Source organism: Homo sapiens, chromosome 6, assembly GCF_000001405.40.
Source record: "Homo sapiens chromosome 6, GRCh38.p14 Primary Assembly".
NCBI lineage: Eukaryota > Metazoa > Chordata > Mammalia > Primates > Hominidae > Homo > Homo sapiens.
The window spans coordinates 67,931,700-67,949,937 of NC_000006.12; the positions used below are offsets into that span (position 1 = coordinate 67,931,700).

At 35.7% G+C, this 18,238-nt stretch overlaps 1 long non-coding RNA gene and 1 pseudogene across 1 annotated transcript in view, besides 1 other annotated feature; both read left to right on the forward strand.

The window, feature by feature from the left end:
* Window positions 1–499, forward strand: part of LOC105377845 (uncharacterized) — a 45,225-nt gene extending 44,726 nt beyond the window's left edge. Inside the window, exon 3 of the long non-coding RNA XR_942662.1 lies at window positions 273–499. This is a non-coding gene — a long non-coding RNA (uncharacterized LOC105377845). The remainder of the gene's footprint in view (window positions 1–272) is intronic.
* On the forward strand, window positions 1,764–3,170 carry LOC100128293 (histone-lysine N-methyltransferase SUV39H2-like; annotated as a pseudogene).
* Window positions 4,418–4,712: a silencer, noted in NCBI's record as "tiled region #13069; HepG2 Repressive non-DNase unmatched - State 24:Quies". NCBI's record gives its function as "represses a minimal TATA promoter and a strong SV40 promoter by Sharpr-MPRA in HepG2 cells {active_cell/tissue: HepG2}" and the evidence as "EXISTENCE:reporter gene assay evidence [ECO:0000049][PMID:27701403]".

The following is an 18,238-nucleotide window of genomic DNA, read 5'->3' on the forward strand; positions in this document are numbered from 1 at the left end:
AGAGGGATAGATAAATATGACATCATAACAAAACACGTGTAATGTAAATGTATTACAAAGATTGTGTAAATGAAGCATTTATGAATATTCTATTAACTATTCGATTTCCCACTGTAGCTAGCACTTATAAAGAATTTGATAAGTAACTAGATAAATGAATCAGAAAATAAATCTATTGTTCAAATTTCATCAGAATGAATTAATGAGTGATAAGTTCTCCTTGAAGAAAGACTGAGGATAAATCAGCTTAAACATGAATAAAATTTTAACAGGTAAAGAAGGCATTCCAAGAGAAGGAACAACGTGAAAAGAAACAAACTCATGAAGGCCTGAGGCATGAGCATGTGTTGAGCATTTGGGAAAGAACAAAGTCATGTTATAAGACCCTATAATGCTTGGCAAAAGATAGTGGCAAGAAAGCTGGGGAAAAAAAGCTGGGATGACATGATAAAGAATTTTATATTTCAGTCAAAATAAATGTCATTTCATTGGAGCTTAATAAACGTGTCAGTTTTTTAATTATTCTTGTTTTCACCTAAAAGTGAAAAAAAATGTAAAATGCTTTGCTCATTTATAAGGTGGTAACAACTACAAAATGGAACAATTAATTGAAATACATATATGAATACCCATTAAACATAAGGGATTTAACTTAAGGCATTAAATTAAATAAAGTAGTTATATTAAGACATCTTTGATTATTGAAGAATAAAATTACTGGGTGCTTAAATATATAAAGCAGTGGCACAGATTCATAAAGATACAGCATGGGAGATGTATTGCAATATTCTATTATTACTTAATACAATGTTTTATATTTCTTATCAGACGATACAGCCAAATCTTTGCTGTTCTAAGGTCATTCTTCAATCATCTTTGCAATAAAAAACTATGTATTATTGGAAGAAAGAACAAGTGCAAAGAGTTTCCCTAAATAGTGCACTTTGCCAAAAATTAATTTTTTAATGAACATTTTTGATTTTTCTAATTTTTAATTAATGGTGTATTGATGTTTGGGAGTGAATAAAAGTCCTTGGTGGCACATAATATAATTCATATCGTGTAAGGCATTGGGCAGAGAGATATTCTCCTTAGGTGAAACAAATAAACATTGAAAGCTAAATATTTTCAAATAAATTCAAAATGTGCAGAGTTAATCCAGTGGAGTTTAGTTACATATATACGGCCCTCAATTATATAGATTAGGTTAACTTTTCAAGAAAATCACCCAATGATATAATTTGTTCTATGTGGAGTAGATTTCTTTGTCATACAAAAATACCAGTACTAAAGAGTAAGATTGTCAAATGTATCTATATAATATCATGATCTTAGGATATTGCTTATGATACATAGTATGGATTCCTATGCCAGGCATTACGGTGTAGTGCTTAAGATTTTGTATTTCAATCACCCACAACTTGATTTGCTACTTAGCCATGATGTTAATTATCTGAGCAAGTTGTGGTTAATTATTTTACTGTATCTGAGTCTCAAGTTCCTTGTCTGAAAATTTGAGATAACAATGCCTACACAAAGAGTGTTAGATATTAAATAATATATGTACCATACTGAGAGATGATGACATATAGTAAGTGTCTAGTAAAGTAGTTATTAAAACAATACAGTATTGGGACACTGTAGCCCAAGTGGGCCTCCAGTGATGTCAAGATGCTCAGGTACCAGACCCCCAGCATTAGCCCCAAGTCTCACAGGGCTGAGCAAGGGTGGGCATTAGGTCACCTGAGCTATCCTGTTAGACCTTGAATGAAATATCCACAAGATGGCAGCAGCTGCGGGTAAGGCACAAAGGAGCTTGGTATGGTGCCTTGGCTAGTTACACTTGATATTCTTCAGGAAATATGCAGAAAAGAAAAGCACACATGTAAATAGATTGGAATCAATCTATTGGTGGACTACTTGTGTGACTACAAGGCAGTGAAGCATATGGAATTTTATCTTGTAAAATGAAAATGATGGCTAGATTCTACAAATACTTAGGAACCTTTGCAAAATCTCAAGGGCCCATGACTGTTTCAGCAATTCTTTAATAGTGAGCATAATTATTTATCTCAGGTAAATAAAGGCAAAGCAATAATTCCAAAAGACAATAACAAAACTTCAAAACCTGCCATTGCCAAGTACATTGTAAAGAAGGCCAAACAAAGGATAGTTCTGCAGAGATGGCAAGATGAACTCAGCAGAAGACAGAATAATAAAGGAGTGATATTTGTTGAAAATAGGGTTCACTTAGAAGGCCCACCTTCAGACTTCTGCTATATTGATGAATACAAACCAGCTCCTGGAATCAGCTTAGTAAATGAAGCTACCTTTTGTTGTTCATGCACAGATTGCTTCTTTGAAAAATGTTGTCTTGGTGAAGCTGGAATTCTTTTGGCTTATAGTAAAAACCAACAAATTAAAATCCCACCTGTTACTCCCATCTATAAATGCATCTCAATCTGTCAATGTGGACCTCACTGTACCAATAGGATTGTACAAAAAGGCACACAGTAATTCACTTTGCATCTTTCACAGTATCAATGACCATGGCTGGGGTGTAAAAACCCATGTGAAGATTAAAAGAATAAGTTTTGTCATGGAATAAGTTGGAAAGGTAATCACAAGTGACGAAGCTGAAAGATGAGGGCAGTTATATGACAACAAATGATCTGGACTATGAATCTGATGAATTCACAGAGGATGCAGCTCAATATGGAACTGTATCTCATTTTGTGAATCATAGTAGTGACCCAAAACTTCATATGTTCAATGTTTTCATTGATAACTTGACACTGGCCTTCCCTAAATAGCTCTGTGTTCCATGAGAACTATAAATGCTGGAGAAGAGTTGATTTTTGACAATCAAACAAAAAGTTCTGGGGATATATCTTCAGAGTTTATTGACCACAGCTCAGCCAAAAAGAGGGTCAGAACTGTATGTAAATGTGGAGCTGTGACTTGCAGAGGTTGCCTCAAATGAATTTTCAGGAAATAGAAATGATGATAATTGTAGTTTGTTTCTTTTTTCTAATGTTATCATTTAAAAAATAAGTATTTGGAACTCTTTTTTCATATTATCAAGATTATAACTATGTTAATTGACAATTCATGGTTCAAGGCATTTACCAAATGCATTACTGATGCCTCTGGAGAGAGGGCCACTGGGTTGCATAGACTGATCTGAAGTCTACGTATTTAGTGCTTAGAGACTAAACATGGAAAAAAACTATTTATAGCTCAGCATATGCACACTTAGTTAAGAAGTCAATGTGAATAGAGAAATGCCGTCTGTAGTGTTTGAATAGTGTTAAACTGATAATGTAATAACTGCTGAGAGATCAAACATTCAATTTTCCGTACTCCTTGAACTCAGATAAATAGAGTTAATTCAATTTGGGAAAACCTACAAGTTCTGTTATTGTTACCATATTGTCATTCTTATTTAATACTCACTGTACTTTTATTTGAGACAAATAGGTGATACTGAATTTTATACTCTATTGTCTACTTTTTCATTAAAACATTGGCATCTCAATGACATATAAACTTAAGGTAAGACATTAAATGTAAAACTTTTTAGTTAAAAAACTACTATCTAAAATATAATTTTATTAATTTTTTTAGATTTTTATCTTTCAAAATATATTTTATGAGATCTATGTAAAATGTAATTGCTATTAAAATATTTTGTGGTTTTTGGATAGAATTTATTTCCTATACATATTCCAAAGAAGTTTAACATATTTATATATAGAAAACATTTTATATATAACATATACAATACATATGTGTGCTTATATATATGTATTTTAATCAATGCTTTTAAGGGGAGACATAGTAAATATAGATGATTTTGCATCCTCAAAATCACAAATTAGTCTATGAGAGAATTTTATGGCATACAATTTTAAGGAACTACGCATGAAATCTCTCTCACTGGCCAGGCTCATTGCTCAGGCAGGCCTATAATCCCAGCACTGTGGGAGGCTGAGGTGGGAGGATTGTTTGAGGCCAGTAGTTTAATACAAGCCGGGACAACATAGTGAGAATCTGTCTTTACAAAAACAATAATAATAGCCAGGCATGGTGGCACTCACTGGTAGTACCAACTACTCAGGAAGCTGAGGTGGAAGGATCGCTTGAGCCCAGGAGCCGAGGAGTTTGATGTTGCAGTGAGCCATTGCACCATTGTACTCCAGTCTGAGTGAGACAGTGATAAACTGTCCAAAAAAAAAAAAAAAAACTCTAAATTCTTTGGAAATTTTTTTTTTAGAAAAAATTCTAAATATTATTTGCTCAACCAACTTCATCCATTATTCTACTTTTTATGTGCATGTAATAACATTTATGGCTATTATCATAAAATGGAAATGCCGGAAATGCATCAAATTATATTGCTTCCCTATTCAAAATTTGTACTATTTTCTCATCACATCAGGGTAAAATTCATAGTCTCCCCCATGGTTTACAATGAACTATGTGATTAAGCTCCTGGCCTCTTCTCTTTCTTAACCTCCTGATTTTCTTCAAGTTCATTGCACTTCAGCTACGTAGAGTGCTTCTGCCTTTTCCCTTGATGTTATCAGTACCTGACATACATTTTTCTCAGATAATTGCAGCTTTCTTCACATCTCTTGTCAAAATTCACTTTCTTATCCTATCTATAATGGCATTCTTGTGGAACTTCTTTTTCCCCATACTCCTTTATTTTTTCCCATAGTATTGAACACCTATTACCTGCAATTATATATCTTATTTATTTGATTTTTTGCCTCCAACCAAAATCATAAATAAAAGTTCCATGAGAACAAATATGTATGGCTCTTTTGTTTACTGTGATACCCATCAGTACCTAAAATGTGACCAAAAGGTAGTAGAACTCAAATATTTATAAAATGGTTTTCAATCAGCTCATCATAAGTCATAATTTAAAGGCATCCTAAACAAATAAATACACAGTTCAATGAGATTTAAATGAAATTGGTTTTGAGTTTCTCAGTTTTTTACCTTCTCCATGAATGAGATATATGGATATAAAGAAAATTTAGCACTTAAACTATTGAATCTGAGGTAGCAGAAATCTATCTTTTGATAGAAATCTATCTTCCTCAGCCAATGAGAAAGATGAAACTGAATAAAAGGAGGGGGATATATCTTCACTTATTTTTTAATTTATTTTATTATTATTATTTTTTGAGACAGAGTCTCTCTCTGTCCCCAGGCTGGAGTGCAGTGGTGCGATGTTGGCTCACTGCCACCTCCACCTCCGGGTTCAAGTGACTCTCCTGCCTCAGCCTCCCGAATAGCTGGGACTACAGGTACATGCCACCATGCCCAGCTAATTGTTGTGTTTTTAGTAGAGATAGGGTTTCACCATGTTGGTCAGGCTTGTCTTGAGCTCCTAACATCAGGTGATCCACCTGCTTTGGGTTCCCAAAGTTTTGAGATTACAGGCGTGAGCCATTGCACCCAGCTTGACTTATTTCTAAAATAAAAAATTAATAGAAAAAAATGTTGTGAAGAGCCCTAAATGTTCTAGAGACATTATGTGTCCCAATACAGTCTGGTTTAAAGAATTTAGGTAATGTTTTGGTATTAATTAGTAGAAATTAAACCTGTATTATTTGGAATTGAATCACTGGTTTTATTATTAGGTTGGTGCAAAAGTAATGGCAAAAACCACAATTACATTTGCACCAACCTAATATTAGTAGTCATTTTGGTAACCCAAACAATTACCCAGGTGTAAATTTTTCTTATTTTCATCTCTGATAACCCAGGGTTACTAGAAAAACAGAGTCGGCAAATACAACATACTTTATAGTCTTGTTGAAGTAAAGCAGATAATTGACGTTATTTTTTCTCTCCCGCTTGCTACACTGCAATTGAAGTGTGGCTGTTCATTATAAGTTTCAAATGCTAACTCTACACATTTGATGAATCTAGGGATTTGAATAGATATTATAGCAAACTGGCATGTTCTTATAAAAGACAGAATTCACAATTTCTTGCCCTTTCTTTACTCAAAGGATAAACTTTATTACTGTGTTATCACCACCAACTAAAGTTGATTTAAGAGATATGATGCTTCTTTTAAAGACATGATTTTCATAATAAGTGAAGCAAGGGAGACCTCTAGCAGCATCTGCTCATGATGAAATCTTAAATCAATGATTTGGCTTCATTCCCAACTAACAGGTATATCTGCATGGATTATTATTATTATTATTAGCTACCAAGAAAAGAAAGTATTACACAAGGGGCACTCACCCTGACATTTCCAAATATTCATAAAATGATACAATATTTTCAAAAATACAGGAGTAATGTTTCACTTATTCACCCTGCGATGCCCAGTCAATTCCATGAATGAAGTCACAGGTGGTGATAAAGCACAATGTGAGTGTTAGTCAGGATAAAATAATACTTGGCTGAGAACCACAATCCCAAAAGCCAAAATCCCTGACCACTTGCTTTCTTCTGACACAGACTTGCAAAAGAGACTTTTAGAAAGGTTATATAAAACAAAAATCTCCCTATTTTTAGAGTAAGGCCTAGCACCTTGATTTAGTCAACAATCATTAAGCAGCCACTGAGTGCAGTTGGCAGAAATGTGTTGAGTGGTTTTTGGATCCTGAATGCAGACTCTCTAGATTGACATACTAAAGGAAGGCAACCCAAGGCAAAAGACATCAAGGAGAAAAAATGCAGTGAAATACACGGAAGTATCAATCATATCTATTCCCCAAACTTTCCTTAGTATGAAGTTTCTTCTCAAACAGTAAAGGGCAGCCTGATATCCTCTTATATTATTGCTCAAGTGGATGGTACAGAGATACTGCAAAGAGAGATGAAGAATGATAGATTTTCAGAGAAATTGTGCCGAATATTTATCATTCACTGAATCTGACCTGTATTTGAGAAAAAATGAATAACAGAAGGGAGAAGAAGGAACTTTATACTCTTCCTAGAAGCCAAATTTTCCACATTTATTGTTATTAATTTTTATCTATTGGGCTTAAAATTCAGACTGTTTTAAACCAAGAGTATAGCTGTGCCCATGAAGGAGGAAACTTGAGTGTCAAGTATCTTACCTAAACCTCGAGTTTTTCTTTTTTTTTCCTCCTTCTTCTCATTGATGTAACATGCATTTTTACTTCAAACAATGGCATATATGTTTTAGCCACAGATGACTCAGAAATCGAAAGTTAGAAGACAATCGTTAGTTTTCTCCAAGAACACAAAGCTCTAGAACAAAATTTTAATCTTCTAGCTCCCATCTTGATTAATGCGAAGGCATTTGTCTATCCAAGCTCACTGTGTAAAGGTCATGTGATGTATGCCATATAACATCACAATGCTAGCAATATGAAGTACTTCAAATTTATTTCTACTCCATTAACTTTAACAGTGAGAACCTTTCACATTTTCAAGTGAAACTATTGATTCCACAGTGAAATTAATGTTCCACAATACATATATAAAAGCATTTCTGCCACTCAATTTTCTTATCCTGTTCCAGGCAAGCCAAAAATCTTTCACTCGGGTGCCTGTTTGGAGTCTCCTTCTCTCAATCAGTGGATTCTACCATCTTTTCCAGACCATCTCCCCTTTCACACCTCCACCATTGGGTTACCCCAACTCCAATTTGCTCATGTTATGCTCTTAGAGGCAAGGCAGGACATAAGAATATAACAACACTAGATGCCCATGAAAAAAAAATAGAAAAATGAAATAAAATTTCAAAATTCATGTGCAATAACAGCTGCTTATAATCCAAACACCAATTTTATCTTAAACAGATTTTTTTCAGCAAATCAGTGTTTTCAGAACCCCAAAAAATCCAATCTAGGATCACCCAAGTTAATTTACACAGTATGGAACTTTACTAATACGTTAGAATCACACAGTCAGGAATCCAGACAAAATAGAGAGAGAGACTTGGATCATCCCATGTGGCTCTCTAGGCCCTTGATTGCCACATAAGACAAGGGATTTCTGCTCCAGGAAAACAGAAGGGGTTGCTATTCCAGCTTTAGGTGTCACATATAGCAAGGAGGATTTCAGTTACGAAACATCTATGTCTTATAACCCAGAGAGTTGTTTTTGTAACATTCTCCATAAATTGTTTACTTGAGAAATTTGAATCCAGAGACATCTTATTAAGGTCATTACATAGACAGTGACTAGTATCATTAGTCTACTTACCAAGAAGTTCAAAAATCATATTTACAAGGAAATTGAAATTGATTACACAAGGTTACTAGCCTTTTTTATTTTTCCCAAAGTGTTCGCCCACCTACCAATCATGGAAGAAATTGAGCACAGTTCAGCAGCTGTAACTTTTTCTTGCCTGCTACACATCTGACCTTGGATATTATCTCCTCATTGCATTTTATAGATATTCCACAATTTTCTGCAACATATAAAATAATATGCCAATTAACTACTAGATGAATAATAGGATTTGAACCATGAATAGGGATGTAAATTCTCTCTGTTAAGCATGTTACTTGTGACCATATTCTTTGATATTTGTTCAATTATTTGTGACCATATTTATGATAATCTTTGTCCAGATTATGTACTCTTTTTCCTCTACCATTCGTGATTATTTGAATCAATGTATCCATGCTGATGGAGACATTTATTTTCATGGATAATTTTCATAGCCAAATTTATGTTTCCCAGTTAGTCTGTCTCCATAGGCATTTCATCAGTTGGGAGCTTCAAATAAACTGCCACTAAATTTCCAAAAATATTTACTTATTTGACCGGGAGTGGCGGCTCATGTCTAATCCCAGCACTTCGGGAAGCTGCGGTGGGTGCATCACCTAAGGTCAGGAGATTGAGATCAGTCTGGTCAACATGATGAAACCCTGTCTGTACTAAAAATACATAAAATTATCTGGGCGTGGTAGCAGGAGCCTGTAATCCAAGCTTCTCAGGAGGCAGAGAAAGGAGAATCACCTGAACCCAGGAGGCGGAGGTTGCAGTGAGCTGAGATTAGGCCACTGCACTATAGCATGGGCAATAAGAGGGAAACTCTGTCTCAAAAAAAAAAAAATAAGTTCCATCAGTTTCTAGACAAACCCATAGCCAATATCATATTAAAGGGGCAAAAGCTGGAAGCATTCCCTTTGAAAACCGGCACAAGACAAGGATGCCCTCTCTCACCATTCCTATTCAACATGGTATTGGAAGTTCCGGCCAGGGCAATAAGGCAAGAAAAAGAAATAAAGGGTATTCAAATAGGAAGAGAGAAAGTCAAATTATCTCTGTTTGCAGTTGGCATGTTTGTATGCTAAGAAAACCCCATCATCTCAGCCCCAAATCTCCTTAAGCTGACAAGCAACTTCACCAAGCCTTAGGATATGAAATCAATGTGCAAAAATCACAAGCATTCCTGTACACCAATAATAGACAGAGAGTCAAATCATGAGTGAACTCCTATTCACAATAGCTACAAAGAGAATAAAATACCTAGAAATAAAACTTACAAGGGATGTGAAGACCTTTTCAAGGAGAACTGCAAAACACTGCTCAAGGAAATAAGACAGGACACAAATGGAAAAACATTCCATGCTCATTGATAGAAAGAATCAATATCAATGAAAATGGCCATACTGCCCAAAGTAATTTATAGATTCAATGCTATCCCCATCAAGCTACCATTGACTTTTTTCATGGAATTAGAAAAACTACTTTAAATTTCATATGGAACAAAAAAAAAAAAGCCCATATACCCACGACAATCCTAAGCAAAAAAGAATAAAGCTGGAAGCATCACGTTACCTGACTTCAAACTATATTACAAGGCTACAGTAACAAAAACATCATGGTACTGGTATCAAAACAGATAAATAGACAAAAGGAACAGAACAGAGGCCTCAGAAATAACACCACACATCTACAACCATCTGATCTTTAAAAAACTTGACAAAAACAAGCAATGGGGAAAGGATTCCCTGTTTAATAAATGGTGTTGGGAAAACTGGCTAGCCATATGCAGAAAAGTGAAACTGGACCCCTTCCTTACACCTTATACAAAAATTAACCCAAGATGGATTAAAGACTTAAACATAAGACCTAAAACCATAAAAACCCTAGAAGAAAACGTAGGCAATACTATTCAGGACACAGGCATGGGCAAAGTGTTCATGACTAAAATACCAAAAGCAATGGCAACAAAAACCAAAATTGACAAATGGGATCTAATTAAACTAAAGAGCTTCTGCATGGCAAAACAAACTATCATCAGAGTGAACAGGTAACCTACAGAACGAGAGAAAAATTTTGCAATCTATCCATCTGGCAAAGGGCTAATATGCAGAATCTACAAAGAACTTAAATTTACAAGAAAAAAACAAACAAACAAAAAGTGGGTGAGGGATATGAACAGACATGTCTAAAAAGAAGACATTTATGCAGCCAACAAATATACGAAAAAATTCTCATCATCACTGGTCATTAGAGAAATGCAAATCAAAACCACAATGAGATATCAGCTCACCCCAGTTAGAATGGCAATCATTTAAAAATTAGGAAACAACAGATGCTGGAGAGTTTGTGAAGAAATAGGAACACTTTTACACTGTTGGTGGGAATATAAATTAGGTCAACATTGTGGAAAACAGTGTGGTGATTCCTCAAGGATCTAGAACCAGAAATACCATTTGACCCTGCAATCCCATTACTGAGTTTATATCCAAAGGATAATAAATCATTGTACTATAAAGATACATGCACATGTATGTTTATTGCTGCACTATTCAAAGTAGCAAAGACTTGGAACCAACCCAGATGCCCATCAATGATAGACTGGATAAAGAAAATGTGGCACATGTACAACATGGAATACTATGCCATAAAAAAGGATGAGTTTATGTCATTTGCAGGGACATGGATGAAGCTGGAAACCATCATTCTCAGCAAACTAACACAGGAACAGAAAACCAAACACCACATATTCTCACTCATAAGTCGGAGTTGAACAATGAGAACACATACACAGGGCAGGGAACATCACACCCTGGTCCGTATTGGGGGGTGGGGGGCTAGGGGAGTTATAGCATTAGGAGAAATACCTAATATAGGTAACGGGTTGATGGGTACAGCAAACCACCATGGCACGTGTATACCTATGTAACAAACCTGCATGTTCTGTACATGTATCTCAGAATTTAAAGTAAATAAAAAATTTTTACCTATCCTATGAATTATCATTGACATATATCCCTTTTATTTATTAATTTATTTTGGAGATGGAGTCTGGCTCTGTTCCCCAGGTTGTAGTGCAGTGGCACGATCTTGGCTCACTGCAATCTCTGCCTCCCAGGTTGAAGAGACTCTCCTGCCTTAACTTCCTGAGTGGCTGAGACTACAGGCATGCATCCCCATGTCCAGCCGATTTTTGTATTTTTAATAGAGACAGGGTTATACCTTGTTGGCCAGGCTGTGCTAGAACTCCTGGCTTCAGGTGATTCGCCGGCCTTGTCCTCCATAAGTGTTGGGATTACAGGCATGAGCTACCATGCCTGGCCTCACATTTTTATTTCATTTCGTCAGTAAACTTATAAACACTTTGATACATCATGTAATTGAGATGGAAAGATTAAACTAATGTTTTATGTATCACATTTCAGCTAAAATGGCAAGTTATCTCTGCCAAATAGTAATGAAATTTTCCCACTTACTGCACATTTCCAGTGACTAGGGTTGTGAATGGAGACCACTCTTCAGTAAATTTTGGATTTCACCTGGTTTGTGGACATGATCATATACCACATATTATAGTACAAGTTTTTATAGAAACTGGATATTCAGGAACAATGTCATATACAGTGCACAACACTACAGAGACCCAGCCTCATTCAGTGTAGCTGTATCTATATGAGTTAAACTAACAGCAGTGTTAAATTAGTTGTGTCTCTCTAGTCGTCAAAAAAGTATAGTCTCAGATTACCTGTGCAAATAGTATTCCAGACCCTTAAAACGGAGTATTAAATTTGAGGCAGAGGGCAGAAGGTAAGATTGCTTGCTACCCTCCCAAGTTAGGTCTGTTCAACCAGCACCTAAATCACAGCAATAGATCAGCTGCCATACCATGTAGATGCATCTGCTCACAAAAACTTGTAGCCACCTTGGCATCTGTGTTCAACCAAGTAATCCCTTTAATTCAATAGTATCTAAAATTAGCAAAGTTCCCTCCTGATCATTAAACCTAAGAATCTATACCAATAATGATTCAACAGTTGTCTGTTATAATTTACTTCTAAAAATATATCAGTTGTTTACTAGAATGCATTCACATTATATAGTCATCTGAATTTAGTCTCTGGCTACCTATACAGTCTTTTGGTTAATCAATGACCTTATTTGCTTCAATTTGCAGGTTAATATAAATCTTGCAGCTAGCAAAAAAAATTATAAGAACATTATCCAGAGATAGAAAAAACTAGTCCTGCAGAATTATCTTTTACTCTCATACTCTCATCTTTCTCTCCTCTTTTTGTTTTTATCTAGACTTAGGCCTGCTCTATCCAGCACACTCACCACTAGCCATATGTTGAGCATACATTGAGCACTAGAAATATGTCTAGTCCAAACAGAGACACCTTCTAAGTGTTAAAATACACTCTGGTTTGCAAAGTTTTAGTATAAGATATTAATATAGAATAGCCTTTTAATAAATTTTATATTGATTACATGGTAAAATAATATTTTGAATAATATTTTGAATTAATTGTTTAATCAAAATTAATTTCACCTTTTTTTACTCTAGTGACTGGAGCTACTGGAAAATTTTAAATTATAAATACAGCTTGCATTTGTGGCTCACATTATATTTCTATTGGACAGTGCTGATATAGATTTTACTAGAACTGTTACAGCAGCAAATAAATATAATTTTTTGCCACATTTTCCTTAGCCTTGCATTTGTTATCAATTGACTTCCTTAATTTATCCTAGTTGATGCCTATGTCTTCCAAATCCCATTGGTAAGACTCATTTACAGTAATTTGCATCAAATCTTTTATCTATTTATACTAAGGTGAGTAGCAATCATCCACTATTTTATTTTCACTATATTTTCTATCCATTCAATTTTCTTGCCAAAATTTTGATTCATTGAACCGAAGGACATTAATTTTCATAGCACAAATCTGAGTGATCTGAGTGGACACCAATATATCAGATCGGATTGTCCAGTCAGATTACCACACTTCATAGATCTTACCCAGTATCGAACTCTATTTTAGAGGAAGAGACGAAGAAGGCAGAAGCCTGGGGCATTCCATGTTGCATCCCACGTTCTTTCTTTCCACAATGGACTTGTGTTTTTGGCCCAGAGTCATAGATGAGGACTCAAATGGGTTTGATTAGTCATCTAATACAGCAGGGAGTATTTTATTTATGAAATAGTGCCATTTTATACTACAAGAGTATATAAGTTGTACAACATTCTCCAAAGAACAATGCTTCATAAATATATATATATATATATTGTGTTTGCCATGTGCAATCTTCACCTAGAAATAAGCTACTAAAAGCATTCTGTAAGTAAAAACTGCCCTCACAAATATTATTAGTTAATTTATCCAAGGGTCCAGTTACCATATTTACAAAGATTAGACTGTCACCACCATTTTTTCCCCAAGAGAATTTCCCCGGTAATTAGAACATAGACTAGTATAATTTGTGAACTATGATACAGATAATAAAAGAAAAAGAAAGACTGAATGTTTAAGACTTGCCAGCCAGTGATGTCCATAGTGTATAATACTTGAATTCAGTTAACTTCTCTTAAAGTGTTAATAAGCTCTCAAAATACAAGAATAAATAAATCCACCACCTATTCAGATTACCTCCCTCCTTTGAGGTTGCAATTTGAAACACAGTTGCAGAATTTTGCTAGGTCTAATCTCATCATTTTCCTCTTCCCTAGCTTCCACACACACACAGATGTGATATGCATATACATATACATAAGCACACACATATAGGAGGAATTTTAAGATATGTGTATGTAAGATACATGTCTATCTATATATAAATATATATATACATATAATTTATATATAAATATTTTATATATATATATATATATATTTAGTAGAAACAGGGTTTTGCTATGTTGGCCAGGCTGGTCTCAAACTTCTGACCTCAGGTGACCCACCTCCTCAACCTCCCAAAGTGCTGGGATTACAAGCGTGAGCCACCAGGCCCAGCCATATGTGTGTGTGTGTGTGTGTATGTTTAATTTTCTTTTTTTATTCTCTACCTTAGCCTCTGTGTTTGCAATCCCAGAGTTAGTTACACTGAGCCTGAGCTTCCCCTCAGATACTCTCCACTTTTACAGGTTGCTCACATTTGTAACAGTTAACTCTTCAAGCAAACTTCATGTCTAGATCTCTCAATTATCTGGTATCTTTTTCAGCATTTCTCTCCAGCAATGTCCTGAAAGTATCTTCCTTTGCTCTCTGCTGAAATTTATTTTCCAGGATCTGGCATTCCTTAGCTCTTTTAAATCCTACCTCCATGAAGGCTTGTCTTTGTTTCCACAGTCTGCTAAGCCTCTTGATCTGCCTTAAATATTTGAAAGTAGTTGGTAGTCTTGTTGATGTTTCTAAGCTTCTGCTCTCAGGTTCCCAATACATCCTCAGAGAAGTGACACTCCTCAAAATCATGTCTCTCCTTTTTTGAGTAATATTCGCTATCCCCGTGAGGCTGAGACTTCTCTCTTTCTCACTTAGCAACCATTGCAACCCCAATATCAGAAAAAATTAACTTATTTTTCCTTCTTTACCACAATCATAAGAGTCTATTTCTTTTTTTTTTCTTTTTATTGAGACAGAGTCTCCCTCTCTTACATAAGCTAGACTGTAGTGGCATGATCACAGCTCATTGCAGCCTCCACCTCTCAGGATAAAGCAATCCTCCTCCCATGTCAGACTCCTAAGTACCTGAGAAGCAAGGACTACAGTCATACACCACCATATGCAGCTAATATTTTGATTTTTTTTGTAGAGATGACAGTCTTCCTATATTACCCAGGCTGGTCTTGAACTCCTGGGCTCAAGCAATCCTCCTGCCTTGGCCTCCCAAGATGTTGAGCTTACAGCCGTGAGCCACCACGCTGAGCTCAAATTCCAATTCTCTCTGCCTTCCCCCTCCTCATAGTTATACCATGCAGGCCCAGACATTTTGTTTTTGTTTTTACTTTTTCTATAAGTGTTCATTTTATTGCCCCACCACGTGTAACTGGTGAGGTGAAATGATAGCAATTTGGGTTCAGAGTTATGATTATTTCATCAGGTTGGGCATTATAATATCTGAATTGAGAATGTTTTTGTAACCTAGAAGTTCATTAATAGTAAGAAGTTGAGTAGAGAATCCTTGAGATCCACCTAATATTATCTAAGGATAGGGGAAAACTTTACTCATTGAGTACATTCTTTTTCTTATTATCATACTTTAAGTTCTGGGATACATGTGCAGAATGTGCAGCTTTGTTACATAGGTACACACATACAGTGGTGGTTTGCTGCACCATCAACCCGTCATCTACATTAGGTATTTCTCCTAATGCTATCCCTCCCCTAGCCCCCCACCCCCCAAAAGGGCCCAGGCTGTGATGTTCCATGCCCTGTGTATGTGTTCCCATTGTTTGACTCCAACTTATGAGTGAGAACATGTGGTGTTTGGTTTTCTGTTCCTGTGTTAGTTTGCTGAGAATGGTGGTTTCCACCTTCATCCACATCCCTGAAAATGACATGAACCCATCCTTTTTATGGCTGCATATTATTCCATGTTGTATATGTGCCACATTTTCTTTATCCAGTCTATCATTGATGGGCATTTGGGTTGGTTCCAAGTCTTTGCTATTGTGAACACTGCTGCAATAAACATATATGTGCATGTGTCTTTATAGTAGAATCATTTATAATTCTTTGGATTTATACCCAGTAATGGGATTGCAGGGTCAAATGGTATTTCTGGTTCTAGATCATTGAGGAATCACCACACTGTCTTCCACAATGGTTGAACTAATTTACACTCCCACCAACAGTGTAAAAGTGTTCCTATTTCTCCACATCCTCACCAGCATCTGTTGTTTCCTGACTTTCTAATGATCGCCATTCTAACAGGTGTGAGATTGTATCTCATTGTGGTTTTGATTTGCATTTCTCTAATGACCAGTGATGATGAACTTTTTTTCATATGTTTGTTGGCCACATAAATGTCTTCTTTTGAGAAGTGTCTGTTCATATCCTTTGCCCACTTTTGATGGGGTTGTTTGTTTTTTTCCTGTAAATTTGTTTAAGTTCCTTGTAGATTCTGGATATTAGCCCTTTGTCAGATGGATAGATTGCAAAAATTTTCTCCCATTCTGTTGGTTGCCTGTTCACTCTGATGATAGTTTCTTCTGCTGTGCAGAAGCTCTTTAGTTTAATTGGATCCCATGTGCCTATTTTGGCTTTTGTTGCCATTGCTTTTGGTGTTTTAGTCATGAAGACTTTGCCCATGCCTATGTCCTGAATGGTATTGCCTAGGTTTTCTTCTAGGACTTTTATGGTTTTATGTCTTACCTTTAATGCTTTAATCCATCTTGAGTTAATTTTTGTATAAAGTGTAAGGAAGTGGTCCAGTTTATGTTTTCTTAATATGACTAGCCCGTTTTCCCAACACCATTTATTAAATAGAGTATCCTTTCCCTATTATTGCTTGTTTTCATCAGGTTTTTCAAAGATCAGATTGTTGTAGATGTGTTATTTCTAAGGCCTCTGTTCTGTTCCATTTGGTCTATATATCTGCTTTGGTACCAGTACCATGCTGTTTTTGTTACTGTAGCCTTGTAGTATAGTTTGAAGTCAGGTAGTGTGATGCCTCCAGCTTTGCTCTTTTTGCTTAGAATTGTCTTGGGTATATGGGCTCTTTTTTGGTTCCATATGAAACTTAAAGTAGTTTTCTTTAATTCTGTGAAGAAAGTTAATGGTAGCTTGATGGGGATAACATTTTGGGCAATACGGCCATTTCCACGATATTGATTCTTCCTATCCATGAGCATGTAATGTTTTTCTATTTGTGTCCTGTCTTATTTCCTTGAGCAGTGGTTTGTAGTTCTCCTTGAACAGGTCCTTCCCATCCCTTGTAAGTTGTATTCCTAGGTATTTTATTGTCTTTGCAACAGTTGTGAATGCGAGTTCACTCATGATTTGGCTCTCTGTTTGTCTCTTATTTGTGTATAGGAATGCTTGTGATTTTTGCCCATTGATTTTGTATCCTGAGACTTTGCTGAAGTTGTTTATTAGCTTAAGGAGATTTTGTACTGAGATGATGGGGATTTCTAAATATACAAACATGTCATCTGCAAACAGAAGCAATTTGACTTCCTCTCTTCCTATTTGAATATCCTTTATTTATTTCTCTTGCCTGATTGCCCTGGCCAGAACTTTTAATATTATGTTGAATAGGAGTGGTCAGAGACGGCATCCTTGTCTTGTTCCATTTTTTCAAAACCAGGTTTTGCCCATTCTGTATGATATTGGCTGTGGGTTTCTAAAAAATAGCTCTAGTATTTTCAAATTACATTCTATTGAGATCTAGTTTGTTGAGAGTGTTTAGCATGAAGAGGTGTTGAATTTTATTGAAGGCCTTTCCTGCATCTATTGAGATAATCATGTGGTTTTTGTCATTGGTTTTGTTTATGTGATGGATTAGTTTATTGATTTGTGTATGCCAGCCTTGCATTCCAGGGATGAAGCCAACTTGATCATGGTGGATAAACTTTTTGTTGTGCTGCTGGATTGGGTTGCCAGTATTTTATTGAGGATTTTCACATCAATGTTCATCAGGGATATTAGCCTGATTTTTTTTGTTGTTGTGTCTCTGCCAGGTTTTCATATCAGGATGATCCTAGCCTCATAAAATGAATTATGGAGGAGTATCTTTTTTTCTATTGTTTGGAATAGTTTCAGAAGGAACGGTATCAGCTCCTCTTTGTACCTCTGGTAGAACTCAGCTGTGAATCCATCTGGTCCTGGGCTTTTTTTGGTTGGTAGGCTATTAATTACAATTTCAAATTCAGAGCTTGTTATTGGTCTAGTCAGGGATTCAACTTTATTGTTTAGTCTCGGGAGGATGTAAGTGTCGAGGAATTTATCCTTTTCTTCTAGATTTTCTAGTTTATTTGCATTGAGTTGTTTATAGTATTCTCTGATTGCAGTTTGTA